This window comes from Homo sapiens, chromosome 6 (assembly GCF_000001405.40).
Source record: "Homo sapiens chromosome 6, GRCh38.p14 Primary Assembly".
In the NCBI taxonomy this organism is placed as follows: domain Eukaryota; kingdom Metazoa; phylum Chordata; class Mammalia; order Primates; family Hominidae; genus Homo; species Homo sapiens.
Window position 1 is genome coordinate 3104740 of NC_000006.12, and position 21567 is coordinate 3126306.

Genomic DNA, 21567 nt, shown 5'->3' on the forward strand with positions numbered 1-21567 from the left:
CTGTGGCTAATTACTTAACCTCTTCTAAACTTCACTCATCAAATCATAATTGCTCCTCCTCTCATAGGGCTCTTCAAGAATGAAAGAATTCATGGGACATGCTTAGGACAGAGCTGCTGCAGATCTTTTTTTTTTGGAGACAGAGTCTGTCACCCCGGCTGGAGTGCAGTAGTGTGATCTTGGCTCACTACAACCTCCGCCTTTCAGGTTCAAGCGATTCTTCTGCCTCAGCCTCCCAAGCAGCAGGGATTACAGGCATGCACCACCATGCCCGGCTAATTTTTGTATTTTCAGTAGAGATGGGGTTTCGCCATGTTGGCCAGGCTGGTCTCGAACTCCTGACCTCAGGTGATCCGTCCGCCTCAGCCTCCCAACGTGCTAGGATTACAGGCGTGAGCCACCGCACCCAGCCACAGATCTTATTTTCCACCTGAATTGCTCCAAGGAGACAACCACCTTCTCTGCTCCAAACCAAGTCCCTTTTTTCCTTGATCATCCCTGCAACAGCCGCTTTTCTCTTGCTTGCTATAATTTTCCTAGTACTCTCTTACTGCCAGCGAGGAGCTCCTATTATTATTTGTAAAGCTTGTGGGAAGAGGACCATCTCCTAAATGCTTTGGACTGGTCTCGTACTTGTTTTCTGTGTGTTACTTTGAGATACAGATTCATGACGGCGCTCAGATTTTATTTTACTTTTTAATGTTTCATGACACCCATTCTAATGTTGATCATTTCTTCTCAGCCACAGAACAGCCTGGTTCACTGCACAGTTCCCAGGGACTTGGGATGGGTCCTGTGGAGGAGTCCTGGTTTGCTCCTTCCCTGGAGCACCCACAAGAAGAGAATGAGCCCAGCCTGCAGAGTAAACTCCAAGACGAAGCCAACTACCATCTTTATGGCAGCCGCATGGACAGGCAGACGAAACAGCAGCCCAGACAGAATGTGGCTTACAACAGAGAGGAGGAAAGGAGACGCAGGGTCTCCCATGACCCTTTTGCACAGCAAAGACCTTACGAGAATTTTCAGAATACAGAGGGAAAAGGCACTGCTTATTCCAGTGCAGCCAGTCATGGTAATGCAGTGCACCAGCCCTCAGGGCTCACCAGCCAACCTCAAGTACTGTATCAGAACAATGGATTATATAGCTCACATGGCTTTGGAACAAGACCACTGGATCCAGGAACAGCAGGTCCCAGAGTTTGGTACAGGCCAATTCCAAGTCATATGCCTAGTCTGCATAATATCCCAGTGCCTGAGACCAACTATCTAGGAAATACACCCACCATGCCATTCAGCTCCTTGCCACCAACAGGTAAATGGGTCTTCGATAGTCACAAGCTTGTCTTTTTTTATTTTTCAGAAAATACAGCAACCAAGCAGCTCTATTATAGATTGTGGGTTATAATGGGGACAGAGGGCATCATCAGCTGCCAGATGCAAATTGCCCCTGTGGAATGGACCCTGCCAAACCACTTGGTCTGGGAGTATTTCATCTGGGGCTAGGATTCATCACAGATGCCCGCAAGCATCGGGTTACAGGTCCTTGTGACTGGCAGGCATCTTTGACTCTAACCTGGAGTGCATAGTAGTCCTATTTCACCCAATCTCTGATAAATGGGAAGTTATCTGCTTATTTGCTTTTACCTTGCTTGCTACTTTTTGAAGGTAAGAAATCAGTCTTGGATATTTTTGTTTCTGACCTTATATAGCTCAAAGACTACCATTAGTGATGAAAAATTTTCTTTTAACTCCCATATCTCTATCAGGTGAAGTAAAAGGTAGGTGATAGTAGTTACTGGCAGTCTAGAATGGAAGTGAGTTAATGTAATATCCAGCATTTTTATCAAATAATACTCACCAACATCACCTTAACTACCTGAACAGCATCTACCAATGATACCCACAGGTGTCCTGGAGATCTTGAAATCATCTCAGGTAGAGGAAGCTTTCAGAACCACAGAGCTTAGTTACATTTTCTTTCAAAAGGCCAAATTCTCCAAAAACGTCCTATGCAAACATCCTCGATTTCTTCCATAGGTTTTATGATAAGATCTGTAGAATGCAAAATATTGGATTAGACATTAAGCAGTATCCAAGTCATGTATAATCCTATGAGCAGAATGTCCTTTTGTTTCCTTCATGTTGGGGATAAAATTTTTTATTAGTATTGCCATATCATTTTATTCATTCATGATTAAGTCAATAAAAATTTCAGCTGGGGCCATGGTTGGCCAGGTGTGGTGGCTTATGCCTGTAATCTCAGCACTTTGGGAGGCTGAGGTGAGTGGATCACTTGAGGCCAGGAGTTCGAGACCAGCCTGGCTAACATGGTAAAACCCTGTCTCTACTAAATAATACAAAAATTAGCCAGGCGTGGTGGCGCATGCCTTTAGCCCCAGCTACTAGGGAGGCTGAGGCAGGAGAATCACTTGAACCCTGGAGACAGACGTTGCAGTGAGCTGAGATCATGCCACTGCACTCCAGCCTGGGCAACAGAGTGAGATTGTGTCTCGAAAAAAAAAAAAAAATTCCACTGGCTGGGCACAGTGGCTCACGCCTGTAATTCCAGCACTTTGGGAGGCCGAGGTGGGAAGATCACGAGGTCAGGAGATTGAGACCATCCTGGCTAACACGGTGAAACCCCGTCTCTACTAAAAATACAAAAAAAAAAAAAAAAAAGCTGGGCATAGTGGCGTGCGCCTGTAATCCCAGCTACTTGGGAGGGTGAGGCAGGAGAATCACTTGAACCCGGGAGGCAGAGGTTGCAGTAAGCCGAGATTGCACCACTGCACTCCAGCCTGGGTGACAGAGCGAGACTGTCGCAAAAAAAAAAAAAAAAAAAAAAAAATTCCAAAACTCTTCCCACTTTGTGACGTGCAGTTCTCCAGGCACTGGAGCTATAACTGAACAAACAGCCTGAGTCCCTTCCCTCACACAGTTTAAATCCTAGTGGACAGAAGGCAGACCCTAAACCAATATTTAATGTGTCATTTTTTATCTTTTTTCTACATGAGCAACCCAAATACACCCGTTTAGTGCCAGAAATCTCTTTGTGTTTTCACCTCGTTCTGGTTCCTGGTTCTGCCAGTGACAGATGTACAGGGATGCAGCTTCTTCAGGGTTCTGAGATGCTTTCAGTGGGAAAGGGGCGCTTGGATCTACAATAGATAATAGAATTTTCTGTGTTTCTGCTCCCAAAGATGATCCTGCCAGGTACTAAGCTAGTAAATGAACACGCTGAGTTTCTCCTTGCAAATTTAAATAAGTCTTCTGCTTGCTTTTATCATCAAAAAGTCCTAACTCTATACCAAAATATGAGTTTTCTAATTTGCCATACCATAGAAGAAGGGTGTGTATGCAGTAAGTACAAAAGGAAAATAAATGTCTTCCTTTCAGTGAAAGAGCTCTTAGACCCACTGCTTTTTATTCACTGTGCTGCTTGAAGTGAGGTTAGAAAAGGAAAGCTCACTGGGCTAAGAGTCAGGAGACCCAGGTCTAGTCCTGCTTGTGCCGGTCACTATATGGGTGACTTTGGGAAAGTCATTTGCCTCTCCAGAGTTCATTCTCCTCAATTATAAATGAAAATGTTACAACTGAAAATTTATATATTATCAGCTCTAGTATGTTTCTAGTATTGCATTCGTTTCTCCACTTCGTAACTTTCATGGTTTTTCCAGTGGTCAGATTTGGGCAGAAAGCACTGATTCAAGAACACAGATTTCCAAGTAGAGAGGTGCAGGGTAAATAAACCTCCATGTAAGCCCGCGGTGAGCGCAGACTGTGAGTGACGAACACGGTGTCAGTGTAAGCTGGAGGTGGTGGGCCAGGAGGATTAAACAGGGTAAGGCAGCTTACCACTGTGCCTGGCGATGCGCAGAGTAAGTGCTCAGTAAACGGTAGCTGCTGTTATTAGCACTGTTATTATCATTGTCAGCAAAGAACACCTAGACAGCCTTGAGCACTGGAAGGCACCTCAGAGACTGTCACAGGGGTTCCTTGCTAGGATTCCAAGGACCCCAGTTTCAGCAGCTTCACGAACACCCTGAATTGCACACAGATGGCGTGTGTGTGCACATCCTATATTTCTTACACCTTTCAGTAGAGAGGGTCCCTAGTTTCCTTGGCTTCCTCAGAGAAAATGTAACAAATGAGCACAGTGCCTGGTCCAGAGGGTGGCCTACCTTAGGGCCAGGTGTGCTGACGGAGGTACCTTGAGCTGATACTCATTTCCCTCCCTCCTCAGAACTGTCTTCTCAACCACCTTCTCTCTCCTACAAAGATATGCCAAGTGCTCTTTAGGGACAGTACCAACACTTGACAAATTCAGCTCAGCATGAATGTCATTGAGCCCATGCCCCGTACCAAGGCCCAGGCTAGCGAGTGTAAGGAGTACAAAAACAAGTGGGTGTGGTCGCTGCCCTTGGGACTCACATTCTAGTGGAGAAGTCAAACAGACCCAGCTCAGATACAGAGCGGCGCAGGGCAGAGTGCTGAGTCTAGGATTACAGTGCAGGCTCATGGAAGGAGGTGGAATTTGTGCTGGGCCTATGTCAGAAACTCACAAGCAGGGAGAAGCACGTGGGGAGGTCAGCAGTCCAGGCAGAGGCAGGAGCATCATGTCAGCAGATCGGTGGGAAATCTGGTGGGACTGGAGTCTCTGGAGTGGAGACAGGGAGGAAACAGTGAAAGGAAGATCAGAGACAAGAGGGTAGGGCAGAGCTGTGGCTAGCTTCTGAATACTGAACCTGAGAGGTTTGAGTTTATCAGGTAAAGGAGGAGGACCCTTCACAGATGCTGTTCAGAGTCGTGGGATCCCGCTGGGAAGTGTGGCTGAGCTTTGCTGTGTTGTTCATCCACTTCTGTTTTCTGACTTGGTGTTAGCCACATTTTTTTATGGTAAAATTCAAAAACATAAAATTTACCATTTCAACCATTTTTACAGTGGCATTATCTAACATTCACAGTGTTATGCAACCATCACCACCATCTATCTATATAACTGTTTTAATCTTGCAAAACTAAAACTCTGTATCCATTAAACACCAACTCCCCAGCTCCCCTCCCAGCCCCGGACAACCACCATTCTACTCTCTGTTTCTGTGACTCTGACCAGTCTAGGTACCTCATGTGAGTGGAACCATGCAGCATTTTTCTTTGTGGCTGGCTTCATTCACTTAGGAAATGTCCTCAAGCTTCATGCATGTTGTAGCATGTGATGTGATTCCCTTCCTTTTCAAGGCTGACTATTCCATTGTGTAGCTAGACCACAGTTGGGTTATCCACTCATCTGCTCATGGGTGCCTGGCTTACTTCCACCTTTTAGCTATTGTGAATAATGCTGCAGTGAACACGTGGGTAGAAATATTTCTTCAACACCCTGTTTTAGTTCTTTTGGGTATATACTCAGAAACGGAATTGCTGGATCATATGGTAATTCTATCTTTAATTTTTTTGAAGAATCACGATTTTTTTTTTTTTTTTTTTTTGAGACAGACTCTCACTCTATCACCAGGCTGGAGTGCAGTGGCACGATCTTGGCTCACTCTGCAAGCTCCGCCTCCTGGGTTCAAGTGATTCTCCTGCCTCAGCCTCCTGAGTAGCTGGGATTACAGGCACCCACCACCACGCCTGGCTAATTTTTGTATTTTTAGTAGAGAAGGGGTTTCACCATGTTGGCCAGGCTGGTCTTGAACTCCTGACCTCAGGTGATCACCTGCATCAGCCTCCCAAAGTGCTGGGATTACAGGTGTGAGCCACCGCACCTGGCCCACTATACTCTTTATAGGAGCAGCTGCACCATTTCACATTCCCACCAGCAGTGCACAAGGGCTTCATTTTTTCCACATCTTTGTCAATATGTGTTATTTCTTTTTTTTTTTTTAATCATAGGCATCCTAATGGGTATGAGGTGGTTTAGCCAGATTTGAAAGAAGAAAAGTTTAAAGGGTGGCATAGGATAATTAACTTAATGTTTGGCATAAAGCCCTGCTTTTTTGCCATGCTGTATTTTTTTCTCTTGCTTTTGATCTAGAATTACTTACCTGTGTGTTTCTCTCTATGCAGATGAATCTATAAAATATACCATATACAATAGTACTGGCATTCAGATTGGAGCCTACAATTATATGGAGATTGGTGGGACGAGTTCATCACTACTAGACAGCACAAATACGAACTTCAAAGAAGAGCCAGCTGCTAAGTACCAAGCTATCTTTGGTAAGATACCCTGGAAGGACTCAACGCCTAGCAACCTTGAACTTTCTTACTTGTGAGAAGGACATAGTGGAATCTTAAAATTTCTCTGATAATTCTTCTTGAAAGTTTTCTTATGTTACTTCTGCAAAATATCTTTGTAATTTCCATATAATTCCTTTGTCATTTATTTATTTTTAATATGGAGATAATCACAGTATTTAATTTATGGATTTGTTGTGAAAATTAAATGAGTTGATATGTATAAAAAGCTTAGAACACTGCCTGGCACATAGTAAGTTCTATAAAAAGTGTTAAACTTTCATCATCATCATCATCAGTATTACTTCTCAGACCCAGAAGAAATAGCTGTGTCAGGCCCTCATCGAAGGAGATCCTGTAAAAGATAGAAGACTGTGCCCTCCACAGCACTTCTGTAATAAAATCAAGAGGGCTATCTCTTATAGGGTTCTATGGTGCAGCCCATAATGCTAATCCCAAAGTACAGTCTGGAAAAAGTCATGAGGCCAAAACGACTTGATTAAGAACTCAGCTTTCTAATTAACCATGGGATTGGCGCTTTTTTTTTTTTTTTCTGTAAAGGAACCAATAGTAAATGTTAGGCCCTGCTGGCTTTGAGGTCTCTTGGAACTACTCACCTCTCTTATTGTAGTGCAAAAGCAACCACAGACAATATGTACATGAATGAGCACGGCTGTGTTCCAATAAAAGTGGATTTACAAATGCTGGCAGGAGTCAGATTTGGCCCACAGGCCATAGTTGGCCAACCCCTGGTCTAACCCATTTGAAGGACAGCTTTTAAAATACCTAGAACAGAACTTGCGAATGGTCAGGGGCACCTGTGAGAATCTAATGAAACCCAGGATCTACCCCCTACAGAAATATTGACAAAATTTGGAAAATATCTTGGGAAGTTCTTGGACTGCTGACAATCTATAAGATATGGATAGAGAGAGAGCCACATCACAGAGGGCTGAGGAAAGAAGAGAGGTGGGAAGGAAGAATGAAATGTTTTCTTCCTTATATTCTGTTTAATGAGGTAGTGTGGGGATTAAGGAATTTTTTTTGTTGTGGTTGTTGTACATTTTCATTTGTTTCCTTTTATTATTTTTATGAAGGGCGAAGGGAAGGAACCAGTAGAAGGAGAGAGGTTATGGCTATTGGAGAAGAGGCAATGTCGGTCGGCAGTGGGGTGGAGTAAAGGAGGGGTTAGGGTCCAAAAACAGACCTTGAAGAGTATAGTTACCTCGTCGCTTGAAAGACAAGGAAGGCTTTGTAACTGAATGGGTTCACGCCTGCTGGACAATTCCTTGATTAAGTAAGAGGAAAGTGAACTGTTGGGCCGGGGTGGTGGTCAGGAGTTGAGCGGCTTTAACTCTGGCCAGATGTAAGCGGAGAATGTCTAAAAGGAACAAAAATGGTGGTTTTCCCTTTACACCCAGGAAGGTCTAATACCAACAGGATCACTGGCTAAGATTGACTAGAACACCCAACCTCGTAGCCACACAGGGGTTTTGTTCACAGAGCCATCAGCTGTGGCTCAGGGATGTGTCTACTAGGAGGAAGGAATGCCTTATTCTTTTTTGTTTTGTTTTTGAGACAACATCCTGCTCTGTGGCCCAGGCTGAAGTACAGGGGCACAGTCATGGCTCACTGCAGCCTCGAACTCCTGAGTTCAAGTGATCCTCCTGTCTCAGCCTCCTCAGTAACTGGGACTACAGGCATGTGCCACCATACCCAGCTAATTAAAAAAAATTTTTTTTTTGGTAGAGACAGGTTCTTGCTGTGTTGCCCAGGACTGGTCTAGAACTCCCGGGTTCAAGTGATCCTCCTGCCTTGGCCTCCCAAAGTGTTGGGATTATAGGCATGAGCCACCACGCCAGGCCGGGAATGCCCTATTCTAATTCACATAAAGACTCCATGTGGGCTAGCAGGCATGTGAAATGTCTGCCAGTGCATCAACAGCTATATAACTAAGAAGTTATCTTTTTCACTGTCTTCTGGTACTCTTCATTTCACTTGGGTTTTTTAGCAATTCAGGAAGCTGGAATGTTTGAATGGGTTTTAGCTTGATACCTTCTTCTTTTTCCCATTTGGCAGATAATACCACTAGTCTGACGGATAAACACCTGGACCCAATCAGGGAAAATCTGGGAAAGCACTGGAAAAACTGTGCCCGTAAACTGGGCTTCACACAGTCTCAGATTGATGAAATTGACCATGACTATGAGCGAGATGGACTGAAAGAAAAGGTTTACCAGATGCTCCAAAAGTGGGTGATGAGGGAAGGCATAAAGGGAGCCACGGTGGGGAAGCTGGCCCAGGCGCTCCACCAGTGTTCCAGGATCGACCTTCTGAGCAGCTTGATTTACGTCAGCCAGAACTAACCCTGGATGGGCTACGGCAGCTGAAGTGGACGCCTCACTTAGTGGATAACCCCAGAAAGTTGGCTGCCTCAGAGCATTCAGAATTCTGTCCTCACTGATAGGGGTTCTGTGTCTGCAGAAATTTTGTTTCCTGTACTTCATAGCTGGAGAATGGGGAAAGAAATCTGCAGCAAAGGGGTCTCACTCTGTTGCCAGGCTGGTCTCAAACTTCTGGACTCAAGTGATCCTCCCGCCTCGGCCTTCCAAAGTGCTGGGATATCAGGCACTGAGCCACTGCGCCCAGCCAACAATCCGCTCTGAGGAAAGCGTAAGCAGGAAGACCTCTTAATGGCATAGCACCAATAAAAAAATGACTCCTAGTTGTGTTTGGAAAGGGAGAGAAGAGATGTCTGAGGAAGGTCATGTTCTTTCAGCTTATGGCATTTCCTAGAGTTTTGTTGAAGCAAGAAGAAAAACTCAGAGAATATAAAATCAACTTTTAAAATTGTGTGCTCTCTTCTTCACGTAGGCTCCTGTTAAAAACAAAGTGCAGTCAGATTCTAAGCCCTGTTCAGAGACTTCGTGGATCACAGCTGCAGCTCACCGCCACATCACAGGATCCGTTAACGTTAATACCCAATACTCTGTCAGCCACTGTAGGCTCTAAGAACCACGTGCAGTCTTCAGCCCATTAAATTATCGATTATTTTTTAATGAATTGAATTTATATTGAGTCTTCAAATTAACTGAATGGATTTAAAGGGGTACCAAGGAGGGGGGAAACATCAGAATTTCCCAGGCAGTTGTTGCAAGGAATTGGTACTAACCGTGACTACAACAAAAATTCTTGATTGACTTTTAAAGTTATTTCCTGGCATTCTGGTACCTTCACCCAGCCTGAGTGCCCTGGAGAGGGAACAGGAAATGCTGATCTCTACCCCTGGGTGAGACCAGAACCTCAGGGCTGATACTGTTGAGTGGCTTCCTCGGTTTACTCTGTGTACTGTGAAAGTATTTTCATATTTTTTCTGTGTGCCAGAGTGAAAAAGGACAGCTTCTGAGTGTGGTAATTGTGCCTCTAGCACCCAGCCTTTCAAAGCCCACCTGAAACCTGGGGGTGGATGAAAGAACTAGAATAGAAGACTGAAGCTGGGTAGGCCGCTCAGTGTCCACTGGCATTTTGCTAAACCGACAAGGAAGGCTGTGTGCTTAGCTCTCCCCAGAGGGAGGGCGAGAAGGGTGTGGTGATGGTCAATCTGGCTGTCGGAACAGATTCTGGTGTCTTGGGCTGATAACAGTGTTGTTGATTCTGATTGTGAATCCCCTCAACTCTAGCAGACACATACACACCCCTGAAATGGGGCTGCAGAGCAGGCTGTCTCAGCCTTGCCACTGTCGGCATCTCGGCCTGGGTAATTCTGTTGTGGGGACTGTCCTGTTCCTTGTAGGATGTTTAGTAGCATCCCTGCCCCCACCTACTAGATGCCAGGGGCACTGTTCTCCCCAGCCCCCCGCCCCAGTTGTGACAATAGTCTCTAAACATTGTCAAATGGTCCAAGGAAAGGGGAAAATTGCCCCGGTTGAGAAGAGCACTGCTGTAAAGTAATGAGCCTCGGCTCTCCTGTCTGCACCTGTCCGGTTACTACTTGGCCACCACGCAGCCTTGGCTCCTACAGCCCAAAAGGGAGAATGGAGGGAGGCTCCAGGCTTTGCTGGAGGGGCCTGGGTGAGTTCTGTTTGCTCCTTGTACCACCATCCAAATGGTGTTATCAAATCTCTTAGATTCCAAAGAGGTTGAATAATTAATGTTCAAAGGCAAGAGGGCAAGGCATTTTTTAACACTTTTTAAAATAAAAATTTATACCACAACTTTAGGCTATTGATGTGATGTGTCACTGGGACAGATGCGGATTCTCCATGGTGCCTCTGCCACTGAGGCCGCATTTCCTGAGCATAATCCCCTTTTACCCTCCCGCTGCCAAGCAGGAGACGGGATGCTGATGGTAAGAACACCTCCCTGCCAGTGCATTTTGGCGCTCAGGATGAGAGGCCTGCAGCACTGCTGTCCCCGCGCCTGGCTCTGGGGCCTTCCCTTCACCCCCACTCTCTCAGCACCATGGTGAGAAGAACCAAGTTTGCCTGTGAGGAGTTAGGTACAAGGCCCAAGCTCCACAAGAACACTGCTGTTAATGGGCAGAGCCAATGACGACACAGACCAGCAAAGCAGAACCGAGACTGTCCGCACTTGGTTCGGAAACAAATACTCACACCCTAGGTTATTGCTGGTAACGGAGACCTCCTTCCAGCTCCCACAGTCCTGCTTGGTAGATTTTCTACTTGTTGCTACAATCATCATCTTTGCTTTGGGTCTGTCACGTGAGGTTAGGGTTTCAGGAATAAAATGTTTAATAAATCACAAAATATTTTAGGCAGTATTTTGATGTACATTTTAATGTGTGGTATTTATGAAAGGGAAAGGGTTTTCTAATTATAATAAAGGCATAAATAGTGTAAATATTCAAGATTTTAGAAGCAGCTGATTTCAGAGAAATCACTGAAAGGTTAATGCTACTACAGTGATTTTTACAATATGCAATAATCCAAGTATACGACCAGGTATAGTGGCTCATGCCTGTAATCCCAGCACTTTGGGAGGCCAAGCTGGGAGGATCGCTTGAGGCCATGAGTTCGAGACCAGTGTGGACAACACAGCAAGACCCTATCTCCACAAAAACATTAAAAAATATTAGCCAGGTGTGGTGGTGTATGCCTGTAGTCCTAGCTTCTTGGCAGGCTAAGGTGGGAGGATCACTTGAGCCCAGGAGTTTGAGGCTGTGGGGAGCTGTGATCACACCGTGCCTCAATAATAATAGCAATCATCATCATCATCATCAAGTATAGAGTCCTGAAATTGAGAGCTCAAAACTCCCCCCTGCCCCTTCTCAGCTGTGTTACCCAGGCCTTGCTTCCTAACCTTTCGCCGTCATTATGCAAGTATAGAGTCCTGAAATTGAGCAGCTCAAAATTACTTTTCAGCTGTGTTACCTAGGGCTTGCTTCCTAACCTTTCTTAGCCTCAGTTGCCTCATCTATAAATGGAGAGTGCAATAGCACAGAAGGCTAATGTGAAGATTAAAGAAATATGATATATCATAAGGTGCCTGGCACAAAAATGGCAGTTTTTTTAAACTGTACGATCTTGCTATATATAAAGAACTGGTTGTCAGGTATGTTACTTAAAAATAGTGACACCACGCTGGACGCGGTGGCACACACCTGTAATCCTAGCACTTTAGGAGGCTGAGGCGGGTGGATCACCTGAGGTCAGGAGTTTGAGACCAGCCTGGCCAACATGGCAAAACCTCGTCTCTACTAAAATTACAAAAATTAGCCGGGCATGGTGGCGGGTGCTTGTAATCTCAGCTACTCAGGAGGCTGAGGCAGGAGAATTGCTTGAACCTGCGAGGCAGAGGTTACAGTGAGCTGAGATTGCGCCATTGCACTCCAGCCTGGGCAACAAGACCAAAACTCCGTCTCAAAAAAAAAAAATTGTGACACCAATAACCTAAAACTCAGTGCTACCGTTTTTTATTAGCACAAGGGTAACTGGTGTTGAAACTGTACAGACAGCTATTTTTATCATTTCTGAGATGAAACCCCAATCAACATATCAGGAAAAAAGGAAATACTGACCTCACCAAAGATTTCTGAAAGTCAAACGATATTAAACTCAAACATTATATATGTCTCTTTCCTTTTATGCAGGAATTAATGTGATAGATTTATGTTGAGAGTAGAATATGAAAACTTTTGCATAGTCTGTATTTAGGCCAAAACTGCCTTTACTACTCAAGAAAGTCCAATGGGCCAGTGAGGACACTGCAGGTGACAGAAATTTCTATGAGTGTAACACCTACAAGCACTGTGCTCACAGGACTGACTGTTACACCAAAAAGGTCTCTTGGAGGAGAAGAAATGCAATATGCAAAGAAGCTGTTGTCTCCAATTATTCAAGCCAAGGCTACAACAGTAGCCACAAATCTGCCAGTTATTTCCAATTAAGGCAGAACGATTGACTTAAAAAGCAATAGTTGTTTTTTTTCTCCACTGAGCTTTCAATTAGATAATGTCTATAACCTTTATAAAGCTGCAATTATACAGCCAAAAGAAAAAAAATTAATTGTGGTAAAACATACATAAAACTTACCACTTAAACCACTTTTAGGTGTGTAGTTCAGTGGCAGTAAGTACACTCACAATGTAATGCAGGCATCACCAAAATCCATCCCCAGGACTTTTTCATCTCTCCAAACTGAAACTCTGTCCCCATGAAACACCAACTTTCCATTCCCCCTTCCACCAGCCCTCAACAACCCCCATTCTATTTTCTGTCCCTATAAGTTTGACTCCTCTAGGTACCTTATTATATAAGTGGAATCACACAGTATTTGTCTTTTTTTGACTGGCTTACCTCCCTCAGCATAGTGTCCTCCAGGTTCATCCATGTAGTAGCAAGTGTCAGAATTTCGTTCTTTGTTCAGGCTAAAAAATGTTCCCTTGCATGCACAGACAACATTTTGCTTATCCATGTATCTGTTTTTGGACACTTAAATTGCCTCCACCCTTTTGGCTATTGTGAATAGTGCCGCTGTCAACGTGAGTGTAAAAACATTTCTTCTTGTACACCCTGTTTTAAATTCTTTTGGGTTATATACCCAGAAAAGAAAATGCTGGATCATATAACTGATTTGTTGAGGAACCGCAGTATTGTTCATCACATGGCTGCACCATTTTACATTCCCAACAGCAATATACAAGGGCTTCAATTTCTCTACATCTTCACCAACACTAATTTCTGGGGGTTTTGCTAGTAGCCATCCTAATGGGCGTGAAGTGGTATAAACAAAATTTAGATCCCATCATCTCCGAAAAGCAAATACACTTCCTAGTACTAGTCAGTACTAAATAGGTGCACAGCGTTTAGAACTTTACTTGATCCAACATAGCAGCCTGCCTAGAGCCGGAGCCCCGCCCACTCCGGAGTCCCGCCTGGACGCCGACGCAGCGAGGGCGCTATGGCTGGCGGCCTCGCCTCCTGGAAAGGCCATGGTCGCTGAGGCGACGAGCGAGGGCGGGGCAGCGCCGACGGGGACACTCATCCCGGGAGCCAGAGCCAGCACCGAGAGGGGACGGTCTACGCGGGTGCCGGCGGTTCCAGGACTGCGAAACCACGAGCCGAGTTTCGGTCGCCCATGGGAAAGCACCCGGCAGGGCGTGGCTTCGGGGCGGGGCGGGCAGAGGGCGGAGCAGGATGGAGAGGCGAGGTGGGCGGAGCAGAGGGCGTGGCTTCGGGGCAGAGTGGGCCGGGTACCGCGCTTGGTCTTAGCGCATGCGCACTCCCGGCAGCTACGCGACCTGTGACCATGGTGGCTGTGCTGGGCGGCCGGGGCGTGTTGCGCCTGCGGCTGCTTCTCTCAGCGCTGAAGCCCGGGATCCACGTCCCACGGGCCGGACCCGCGGCCGCGTTCGGGTAATGGCGGCCACCTCGCCCCGGGGATCCCCAGCATCGGCGCGCTCGAGGGGCGGCGGGAGGGGCGCGTGCCGACAGCAGGAGTTCCCGGCGCGCGGGCACGGGGCGTGGGCGCGGCCTGGCTGCCCTGTCGCCCTTTGTGCCGCGAGACCCCGATCCTGGGGGCCAGCCGCGCTTGGTGCTCGAGCCCCTCGATCGTGCATGCGCCTCGGTCAGCCTCAGTTCAAGGAGTCTGGAGCCGTGGAGGCTTGGGCTATAGAGTGCAGCCCCTTCAGTGTGCAGACCAGAGAGACCCAGGGAGATACATTTGCCTGTAGTATGGACTCACCCGTGACGGAGCACGGACTAGAATCCCAACGCCCTCATTAGTCCATTGCTCTGTCCAGAGTCCACACTAAGGGCATAAGGACAATAATCTCTTCTTTCTCTTATGTCAGAAATCAGCCTGAGCCTGAGTACCGCTAAGGCTTTAATCACGGGTCCCGAGAGCCCTAAGTCTTCTCTTTGCTTGCTGATCTCGTACCTTAATGTGCAAAAGAATCACGTTGGGAACTGAAAATTCAGAATCCTGGGCCTCACTCCCAGAGGATCTGATCTACATGTGTGGAGATGCCCAGGAATCTGCTTTATTCTCTTTTGTCCTCCCACCTGTCCCCCCATTTCAGGTAAAACAATAACAAAAAAACTGGATTAATTTCTGACCTTCTGTCTTGAAAATGGATACTCTTGGTCCCAAGAGATACTGGGCAGAAATGTGGATAGAGCGGCATGAAGCTTGTTTTACTTTATTCTCTACATACATCCCTACACACATGCAAACACACGTATACAACGAACGTACACAGTGCATGTGCGCAGTTGACTGTTGATGGGCTACTTTCATAAAGTCAGTACTAGATAGGTACACAGCGTTTAGAACTGTACTTGATCCAACATAGAAACTTTTAGTTTGAAAACTTGATTTAGAAGGAGAAAAGAGGGCAAATCTGACCAGCTTTTAAAATTTCATATTGCAATTGACTAGCTCCTTTAATTTTAGAATTATTATAAGATGGTCAGGGCTATTTTGATAGATGGAAAAACATGTTAATGGCTACAGCTGTATAAATTAACAGTGAAAATGATTATTTTTTCCAGTTTCCTGTCTGCAGAAAGGCATCGAAATAAGTTACTGTGATTGTACCAATATAGTTCTTTTTTTTTTTGAGACTGACTCTCGCTCTTTTGCCCATGCTGGAGTGCAGTGTTGTGATCTCGCTCACTGCAACCTCTGCCTCCCAGGTTTAAGCGATTCTCGTGGCCTCAGCCTCCCGAGTAGCTGGGATTACAGGTACCTGCCACCATGCCCGGCTAATTTTTGTGTTTTTAGTAGAGATGGGGTTTCACCATGTTGGCCAAGCTGATCTCGAACTCTTGACCTCAAATGATCCACCTGCCTCAGCCTCCCAAAGTGCTGGGATTACAGGCGTGAGCCACCGCTCTCGGCCTACCAGTATAGTTCTGATAGGTTATTTAATGGTTGAGGAAGGCCCCATCCATCTAGTTGCATTGCAGATCATTCTTCCTAAAATATCTCTGAAGAAACAGGTTTTTCTGGATTTTGTACGGCCGTTTTATAAATGCAGCTGCAAGTTGATATGACATATAATCTGGGAAAACAAGCAGTGGTATTAGTTAATCCTGAAATGCAGCTGTAGCTCAGTGTCAGTAGGTAAAAGGATTCGTGTAAAAACTTTGCTTCAGAATAGCCAGTGCCCAACCTACAACTGACTTTTGTTCCAAAAACTTGTTTGTAAGTCTGCTGTTTGGAACTTTGACCCTTATTTCAAAATCCGTAAGGTGATTTATTCCTGGGTCAGGTCAAGAAAAGCCTTTTCTACCTGAAATTGGATATTATGTGCAGTTATAAATATTAATAATTCACATAACCTAACAATCTTCCTAAAAAATATTTTCCAAGTTCAACCTTGGGATGCCCTGCCAGAGAATCAGAGACTGTCCTTCTGCTGACGCTTGCCACCACGCTGTATCTGGCAGTCAGAGTGTGGCCCCGGTGCCTGAGCCCTCTTAGGACTCTGTTCAGCCATGAGGTTAGAGAGGAATCATGGCCTCTGGAGTTCTAATGGCCCCGTGGCCACTTCCTAGCTCTGTGAGTGTGGGCAGATTGTTCAACCTCTCTGAGCCTCCTGCCTTGCAGCGTTTTTGTGAGGATTTGAAACAATAAATGTAAAAGCCTGGGGATATAATAAACATGAAGTAATTAGTAGGCACAATGGGAATATTTATATAATAGTACAATATATAAGAGATGTAAAAATAATTCATCAAGATTCATGCAAATTTCAAGCCCTGAAGGTAGCAAATACTTTATTGTAGATAATGGCTACTTCACAAAACATACACAAAAGAAATAGCTGAACATACAATATGATAATAGCAGTTTCTTTTTTTTTTTTTTTTTTTTTTTTTTTGAGACGGAGTCTCTCTCTGTCACCAGGCTGGAGTGCAGTGGCACGATCTCGGCTCACTGTAATCTTCACCTCCCAGGTTCCAGCGATTCCCCTGCCTCAGCCTTCTGAGTAGCTGGGATTACAGGTGTGCACCACCATGCCGGGCTAATTTTTTTGTGTGTATTTTAGTAGAGATGGCGTTCCACCATGTTGGGCAGGATGGTCTTGATCTCCTGACCTCGTGATCCTGACCTCGTGATCCACCCACCTGGGCCGCCCAAAGTATCGGGATTACAGGTGTGAGCCACCACACCTGGCCGATCCTAAGCTATCTTAACTGTAGAAATGAATTTCTCAGAGGAATAGGGCAGTAATCATAATAAGTAAATGGCAGAGTCAGTATTGCCATTGCTTGGTGGCTTCATTGATGCCCCTTTAATAATATTTCTGTAGATAAGGAGCTTATAGTTTAGTCAGACCTTATTACTACCCAATTCTGTCTTTTATTTTTCCAGAAATGGTATGTTAAGAGTAGATGTACCTGTATTCAACACATCTGTTTCCACGTTTGTTTCTTTTTTACTTGAGACTGGCAAATAAGATTAAACCAAAAGATAAAACAGGACCTCATTTTTTCAAAAGGGCTGTGTTTCAGTTATCCTTTGACTAAGGGCAGAGGTAGGAGTAGAGAGTATGTAGAAGAAAAAGGAGATGGGCCGGGCCTGTAATCCCAGCGCTTAGGGAGGCTGAGGCAGGCAGATCACGAGGTCAGGAGATTGAGACCATCCTGGCTAACAGGGTGAAACCCCGTCTCTACTAAAAATACAAAAAAATTAGCCGGGCGTGGTGGCGGGTGCCTGTAGTCCCAGCTACTTGGGAGGCTGAGGCAGGAGAATGGTGTGAACCCGGGAGGTGGAACTTGCAGTGAGCCGAGATGGCGCCACTGCACTCCAGCCTGGGCGACAGAGTGAGACTCCATCTCAAAAAATAAATAAATAAAAATAAAAATAAAAGGAGATGGTGGTTGATTTCATTGTATTGGCACTCCACCAGGAGAAGAGAGCGCCTCCTTCTGGCATCTGTCCTGGCTTGCCATCATGTCCCTCCTGTGCTTCACTCAGTCATCTGTCTGATAAGCTGTGGGAAGGCTGATGGAGCCTGGTCCTGGTGCAGGGGCCGTCTGTGTGCCCCACTGGTATATATCCCAGGACAGTCTGGCTGTCCTCGAAGAGCAGCTGAGGAGAGGTTAATCAGAACACCTGTACGGCACCCATAATTCAGGCAGCACAGACACTGGCATTATGCCTGTCCTGAGGCGTTGTCCTGTGCTAAGTGTGGTCCAGTTAGATGCTGGATCCTAGGAGGTCTTAGGCCAAGGCGGGTGAGTGGCAGGAAGGAGGGCTCTTGAGATGGAGGCTTATGGACAGGGCTACTTAGCAGTTGACACAGACATATTTTAACATCTTAAAAAACAGTAGGATTTATCCGTGCAGATGGGCACTGTTGACTATGGCCCTCCTGCAGCAGGCCAGACAACACAGGATACCCTACAGCTAAAGAACAGCCTGGAGATCGAGACCTTGGGACCAGTCTCATCTTTGGGAATGTCACCAAGGCTGCTGAAGGTCTGGGTAGGTCCTCTGGGCCTGCTGAGTGCAGACGAGTGACTCCAGGGTCTCTGCCCCTGATGTCCACCCTCGTTTCACGCCAGCCTGCACTTGAGGACCCTTGGCTTCCAGCTCACCGGCGTGTGCCATGAGCCTCTGTGGCCATTGATTGAGCAAGCCGCCTAGGGTTTTTGTAGGGTGAGCCCCAGGCTGGGCACAATAGCGTATTCAAGCATGAGGGCACAGTTCAGATCGGCAGTCTAGTAAAGAAAATTCAAACTCATGTCACTGTTCAGAATTGGAAAAATCGAAATAACCCAAGGAGACTGAGAGGCGTTCTGGAGGCGACTCATTCATATACAAAGACAGTTTTATCATATTAAATTCGTGCTGTTAAATGATTTTCCTCTGGGGGTGGATTTTTAAACATTTTTCAAATTTTATTTTTTAATTGACATAAGTGTACCTGTTTATGGGGTAGATAGTGATGTTTCGATAGATACAAGGTGTAGTGATCAGATCAGTGTAATTAGCATATCCATCGTCTCAAACATTTATCATGTCTTTGTGTTGGGAACATTCAGTATCTTCCTTCTAGCTATTTTAAACTATCGCTTATTGTTAGCCGTAGTCATCCTACAGCGCGTAGAACACTAACACTTATTCCTCCTGTCTAGCTGGAATTTTGAATCAACTAAGAAATCTTCCCATCTCCCCTTTCCCCCTGTGGGGATGTGTTTTTTCTCTTCTAGCACCTCGGTAACCTCTGCCAAAGTGGCTGTGAATGGCGTTCAGCTGCATTACCAGCAGACTGGAGAGGGAGATCACGCAGTCCTGCTACTTCCTGGGATGTTAGGTCTGGGTACTTTTTAATGGAATGTTTTTGCATGCTGTAAAATCTATGATGCATTCACAATACTAGATGCCAAATACTGATGATTAATTTTAGTGCTTTTTTGAAATGTTTTCATATTTGCTACAATCAAACTTAAATGACTTAGAAAAGTAGGTAACTTTCTACTGCTGTTCAGAATTGGATTTTTTATTCCTTTAGTAAAGTACCCAGTTTTTCCTATTGCAAGTACTCTGTGAAATCACAGTTGCCCATAATTTGGGAGGGTGACAGGGGTCAAGGAAAGGGGTGTGGGAAGAAGGTAAAGGAGGAACGTGAGTGGGTAATCAGTCATCCTAGTTTGCTTGGCGTTGGGGGATTTTCCAGGATGTGGGACTTTCAGTGCTAAAACTAGAGTGAATTGATCACTTGTTGTGGTTGATAATATATTCCGTTAAAATAAGAGGTAAGAAAAAAAAAACCTCAGTTTGATTCTTTTTAGAAATCAGAGTTAGATTGGCATATTACCCTCTCTCAATATATGGGCCATAATAAAGCCTACTGGATCTCAATCTCATTTTGCAGAACTGGAGTTCAGATGTAGAAAGTTCAAGGGAAAAATTTGCAGTGATTCCAGTACATCCGAAATCTGGTTTTAAGGGTGTTAGTATTGTTGCTTTATTTTTGATTTAGTTAAATAATCCTAATATTTAATCTCAGTATTCCTGGGGGACTGGATCCAGGAAGCCCTCAGATCCCAAAATCTGAGGATCCTCAAGTCCCTGATATAAAATAGCTCAATGTTTGCATGGAAGCTACGCATGTTCTCCTGTATACTTTAAGTCATGTCTAGATTACTTACCATATCTCATGCAATGTAAATGCTGTGCAAATAATTGTTATTTTGTATTGTTTAGGGAATAATGACAAGGAAAAACGTCTGTACATGTTCAGTACAGACCCAACCACCCATTTTTTTCCCGAAATATTTTTGTTCCGAGGTTGGTTGAATCCACAGATGTAGAACCACGGATAGGAAGGCTGACTGTACTTATTTCTTTGTGATTTGCTTCTTTCTAAAAGTGAAGTGCTAAAAAGGTTCCACTTGACTGAGCCTCAGCGGATCGTGGCACTGTTGCACGTGTGTCTAAATGGTGTTTGGTACCTTTGTTTTCCTTAACCTGATGAACAAGGACACTGACTCTCATGGCTGATGGGGAGCTAAAGTTATCTGTAAAAACATTGCCTATCTTAGCTTTCCATTATTTCGGTATTGCAGTCATTGTCCAGGTGCTAAAAACTTACCAATTTAATTTTTTTTTTTTTTTTTGAGAGGGAGTCTCACTGTTGCCCAGGCTGGAGCCAGTGGCACTATCTTGGTTCACCACAACCTCTACCTCCCAGGTTCAAGCGATTCTCCTGCCTCAGCCTCCTGAGTAGCTGGGATTACAGGTGTGCACCACCATGCCTGGCTAATTTTGTATTTTTAGTAGAGACGAGATTTCACCATGTTGTCCAGGCTGGTCTCAAACTGCTGACCTCAGGTGATCTACTCGCCCCGGCCTCCCAAAATGCTGGGATTACAGGCATGAGCCACAGCACCTGTCCCCAATTTAATTTTTTTTTATGTAAAGTATTAGCATGATTCCAATATTAAAAAAAATGGACCAGAGGAGATTCTCTCTCCTGTCCTATCCTCAGCACCCAGTTCCCCTCCCCACAGGCCTCTCAGATGTTACATGCTGATAACTATGTACATGTATTCCTTAAATGTTTTTTTAAGTTTTATATTCTTGGCACTGGTCTTCAAATGTGTACATGTGTGCCAGGGAGCAAATGCCTTCTTGTTTCTGAAATTGGTCTTTTAGACTGTTCTTTTTTCCCATCTTCTCACCTCCTGCCCCTCCTTCAGGGTACTTCCGTGGCCAGAACCCCTCCAGGTCAGAGGCAGAAGAGAAGCCTCATGGGTCACAGCAGCAGATGTGGGCTGGAGATCTATTCATTTGGTTTTGGCTTGAATTTTCTGAATGGTTTACTTGATCTTGGGAAAGATATATCTTGCCAGGAAAAATGATAGGCCTTGACAATGTTGAATGATCCTGCACCACCTTGAAAGACATTTTCTAATATGGTTTGTCAGGCAAAGTGGTTAGTAGTCATTTGTGGCCTGAGGTAGAAGTCCTCAGAAATCAGCAGACTTCACTGATAAAATGCTGACTTGCCCCTGGACTGGGCTCTGTGAGAGTGGCCTTCTGCACTGTGCACAGTAGGTGTGAACACACCACACCTACAGGGACCACGTGGTGGGCTGTGGACTAGCGGCCAAGCTCCCTGCAGGCCCACTAATAGAATTCAGCTTTTAGCATGGGCTGTTTCATACTGTTCTGATGAAACTGATTTGGTTTCTTTCCTCCATACCCCTTCTGCATTTCAGTGTTTTTGTTTAGTTTTCCTGGTTTTTAATTATAACTACAAAATAAAATCTTTAGGCTATTCACCTTAGCTTAGTAAAAAAAAAAAAAATTAAAAATCTGGAATTTTAGAATTCTACTTTGAATAACTTGGACCAA

General features: G+C 45.1%; 2 protein-coding genes and 1 long non-coding RNA gene across 20 annotated transcripts in view, besides 2 other annotated features; 2 read left to right on the forward strand and 1 right to left on the reverse strand.

The window, feature by feature from the left end:
* Positions 1-10448, forward strand: part of RIPK1 (receptor interacting serine/threonine kinase 1) — a 51221-nt gene extending 40773 nt beyond the window's left edge. For all 13 annotated transcript variants that reach the window (XM_047419447.1, XM_047419448.1, NM_001317061.3 and 10 more), the window contains 3 exons: positions 743-1312; positions 6064-6216; positions 8314-10448. In XM_047419447.1, coding sequence (XP_047275403.1) covers positions 743-1312; positions 6064-6216; positions 8314-8600 — 1010 coding nt within the window. In that variant the 3' untranslated portion in view covers positions 8601-10448. The remainder of the gene's footprint in view (positions 1-742; positions 1313-6063; positions 6217-8313) is intronic.
* LOC107986556 (uncharacterized) lies at positions 683-13908 on the reverse strand. The gene is made up of 4 exons (XR_001743928.3): positions 13050-13908; positions 4563-4657; positions 3063-3158; positions 683-2052 (listed from the first exon to the last, which is right to left on the reverse strand). It is a non-coding gene; the product is annotated as an uncharacterized LOC107986556 (long non-coding RNA).
* Positions 13206-13841: an enhancer, noted in NCBI's record as "H3K27ac hESC enhancer chr6:3118179-3118814 (GRCh37/hg19 assembly coordinates)". NCBI's record gives its function as "activates a minimal SCP1, AML or CMV promoter by ChIP-STARR-seq in naive H9 embryonic stem cells {active_cell/tissue: H9 hESC(naive)}" and the evidence as "EXISTENCE:reporter gene assay evidence [ECO:0000049][PMID:30033119]".
* The window catches only part of BPHL (biphenyl hydrolase like), a 35203-nt gene continuing 27272 nt past the window's right edge, over positions 13637-21567 (forward strand). For 3 of the 6 annotated variants that reach the window (NR_026649.2, XM_047419266.1, XM_047419267.1), the window contains exons 1-2: positions 13637-14108; positions 18918-19021. Coding sequence is in view for 4 of the 6 variants with exons in the window: in XM_047419266.1 (XP_047275222.1) it covers positions 13831-14108; positions 18918-19021 (382 nt within the window). In the remaining 2 variants the exon portion in view is untranslated. Of the gene's footprint in view, positions 14109-14545; positions 14774-18917; positions 19022-21567 lie in introns of all 6 variants that reach the window. The other 3 variants (NR_026648.2, NM_001302777.1, NM_004332.4) reach the window with 2 other exon arrangements.
* Positions 13880-14269: a silencer, noted in NCBI's record as "silent region_16845". NCBI's record gives its function as "represses an Ori minimal core promoter by ATAC-STARR-seq in GM12878 lymphoblastoid cells {active_cell/tissue: GM12878}" and the evidence as "EXISTENCE:reporter gene assay evidence [ECO:0000049][PMID:35858748]".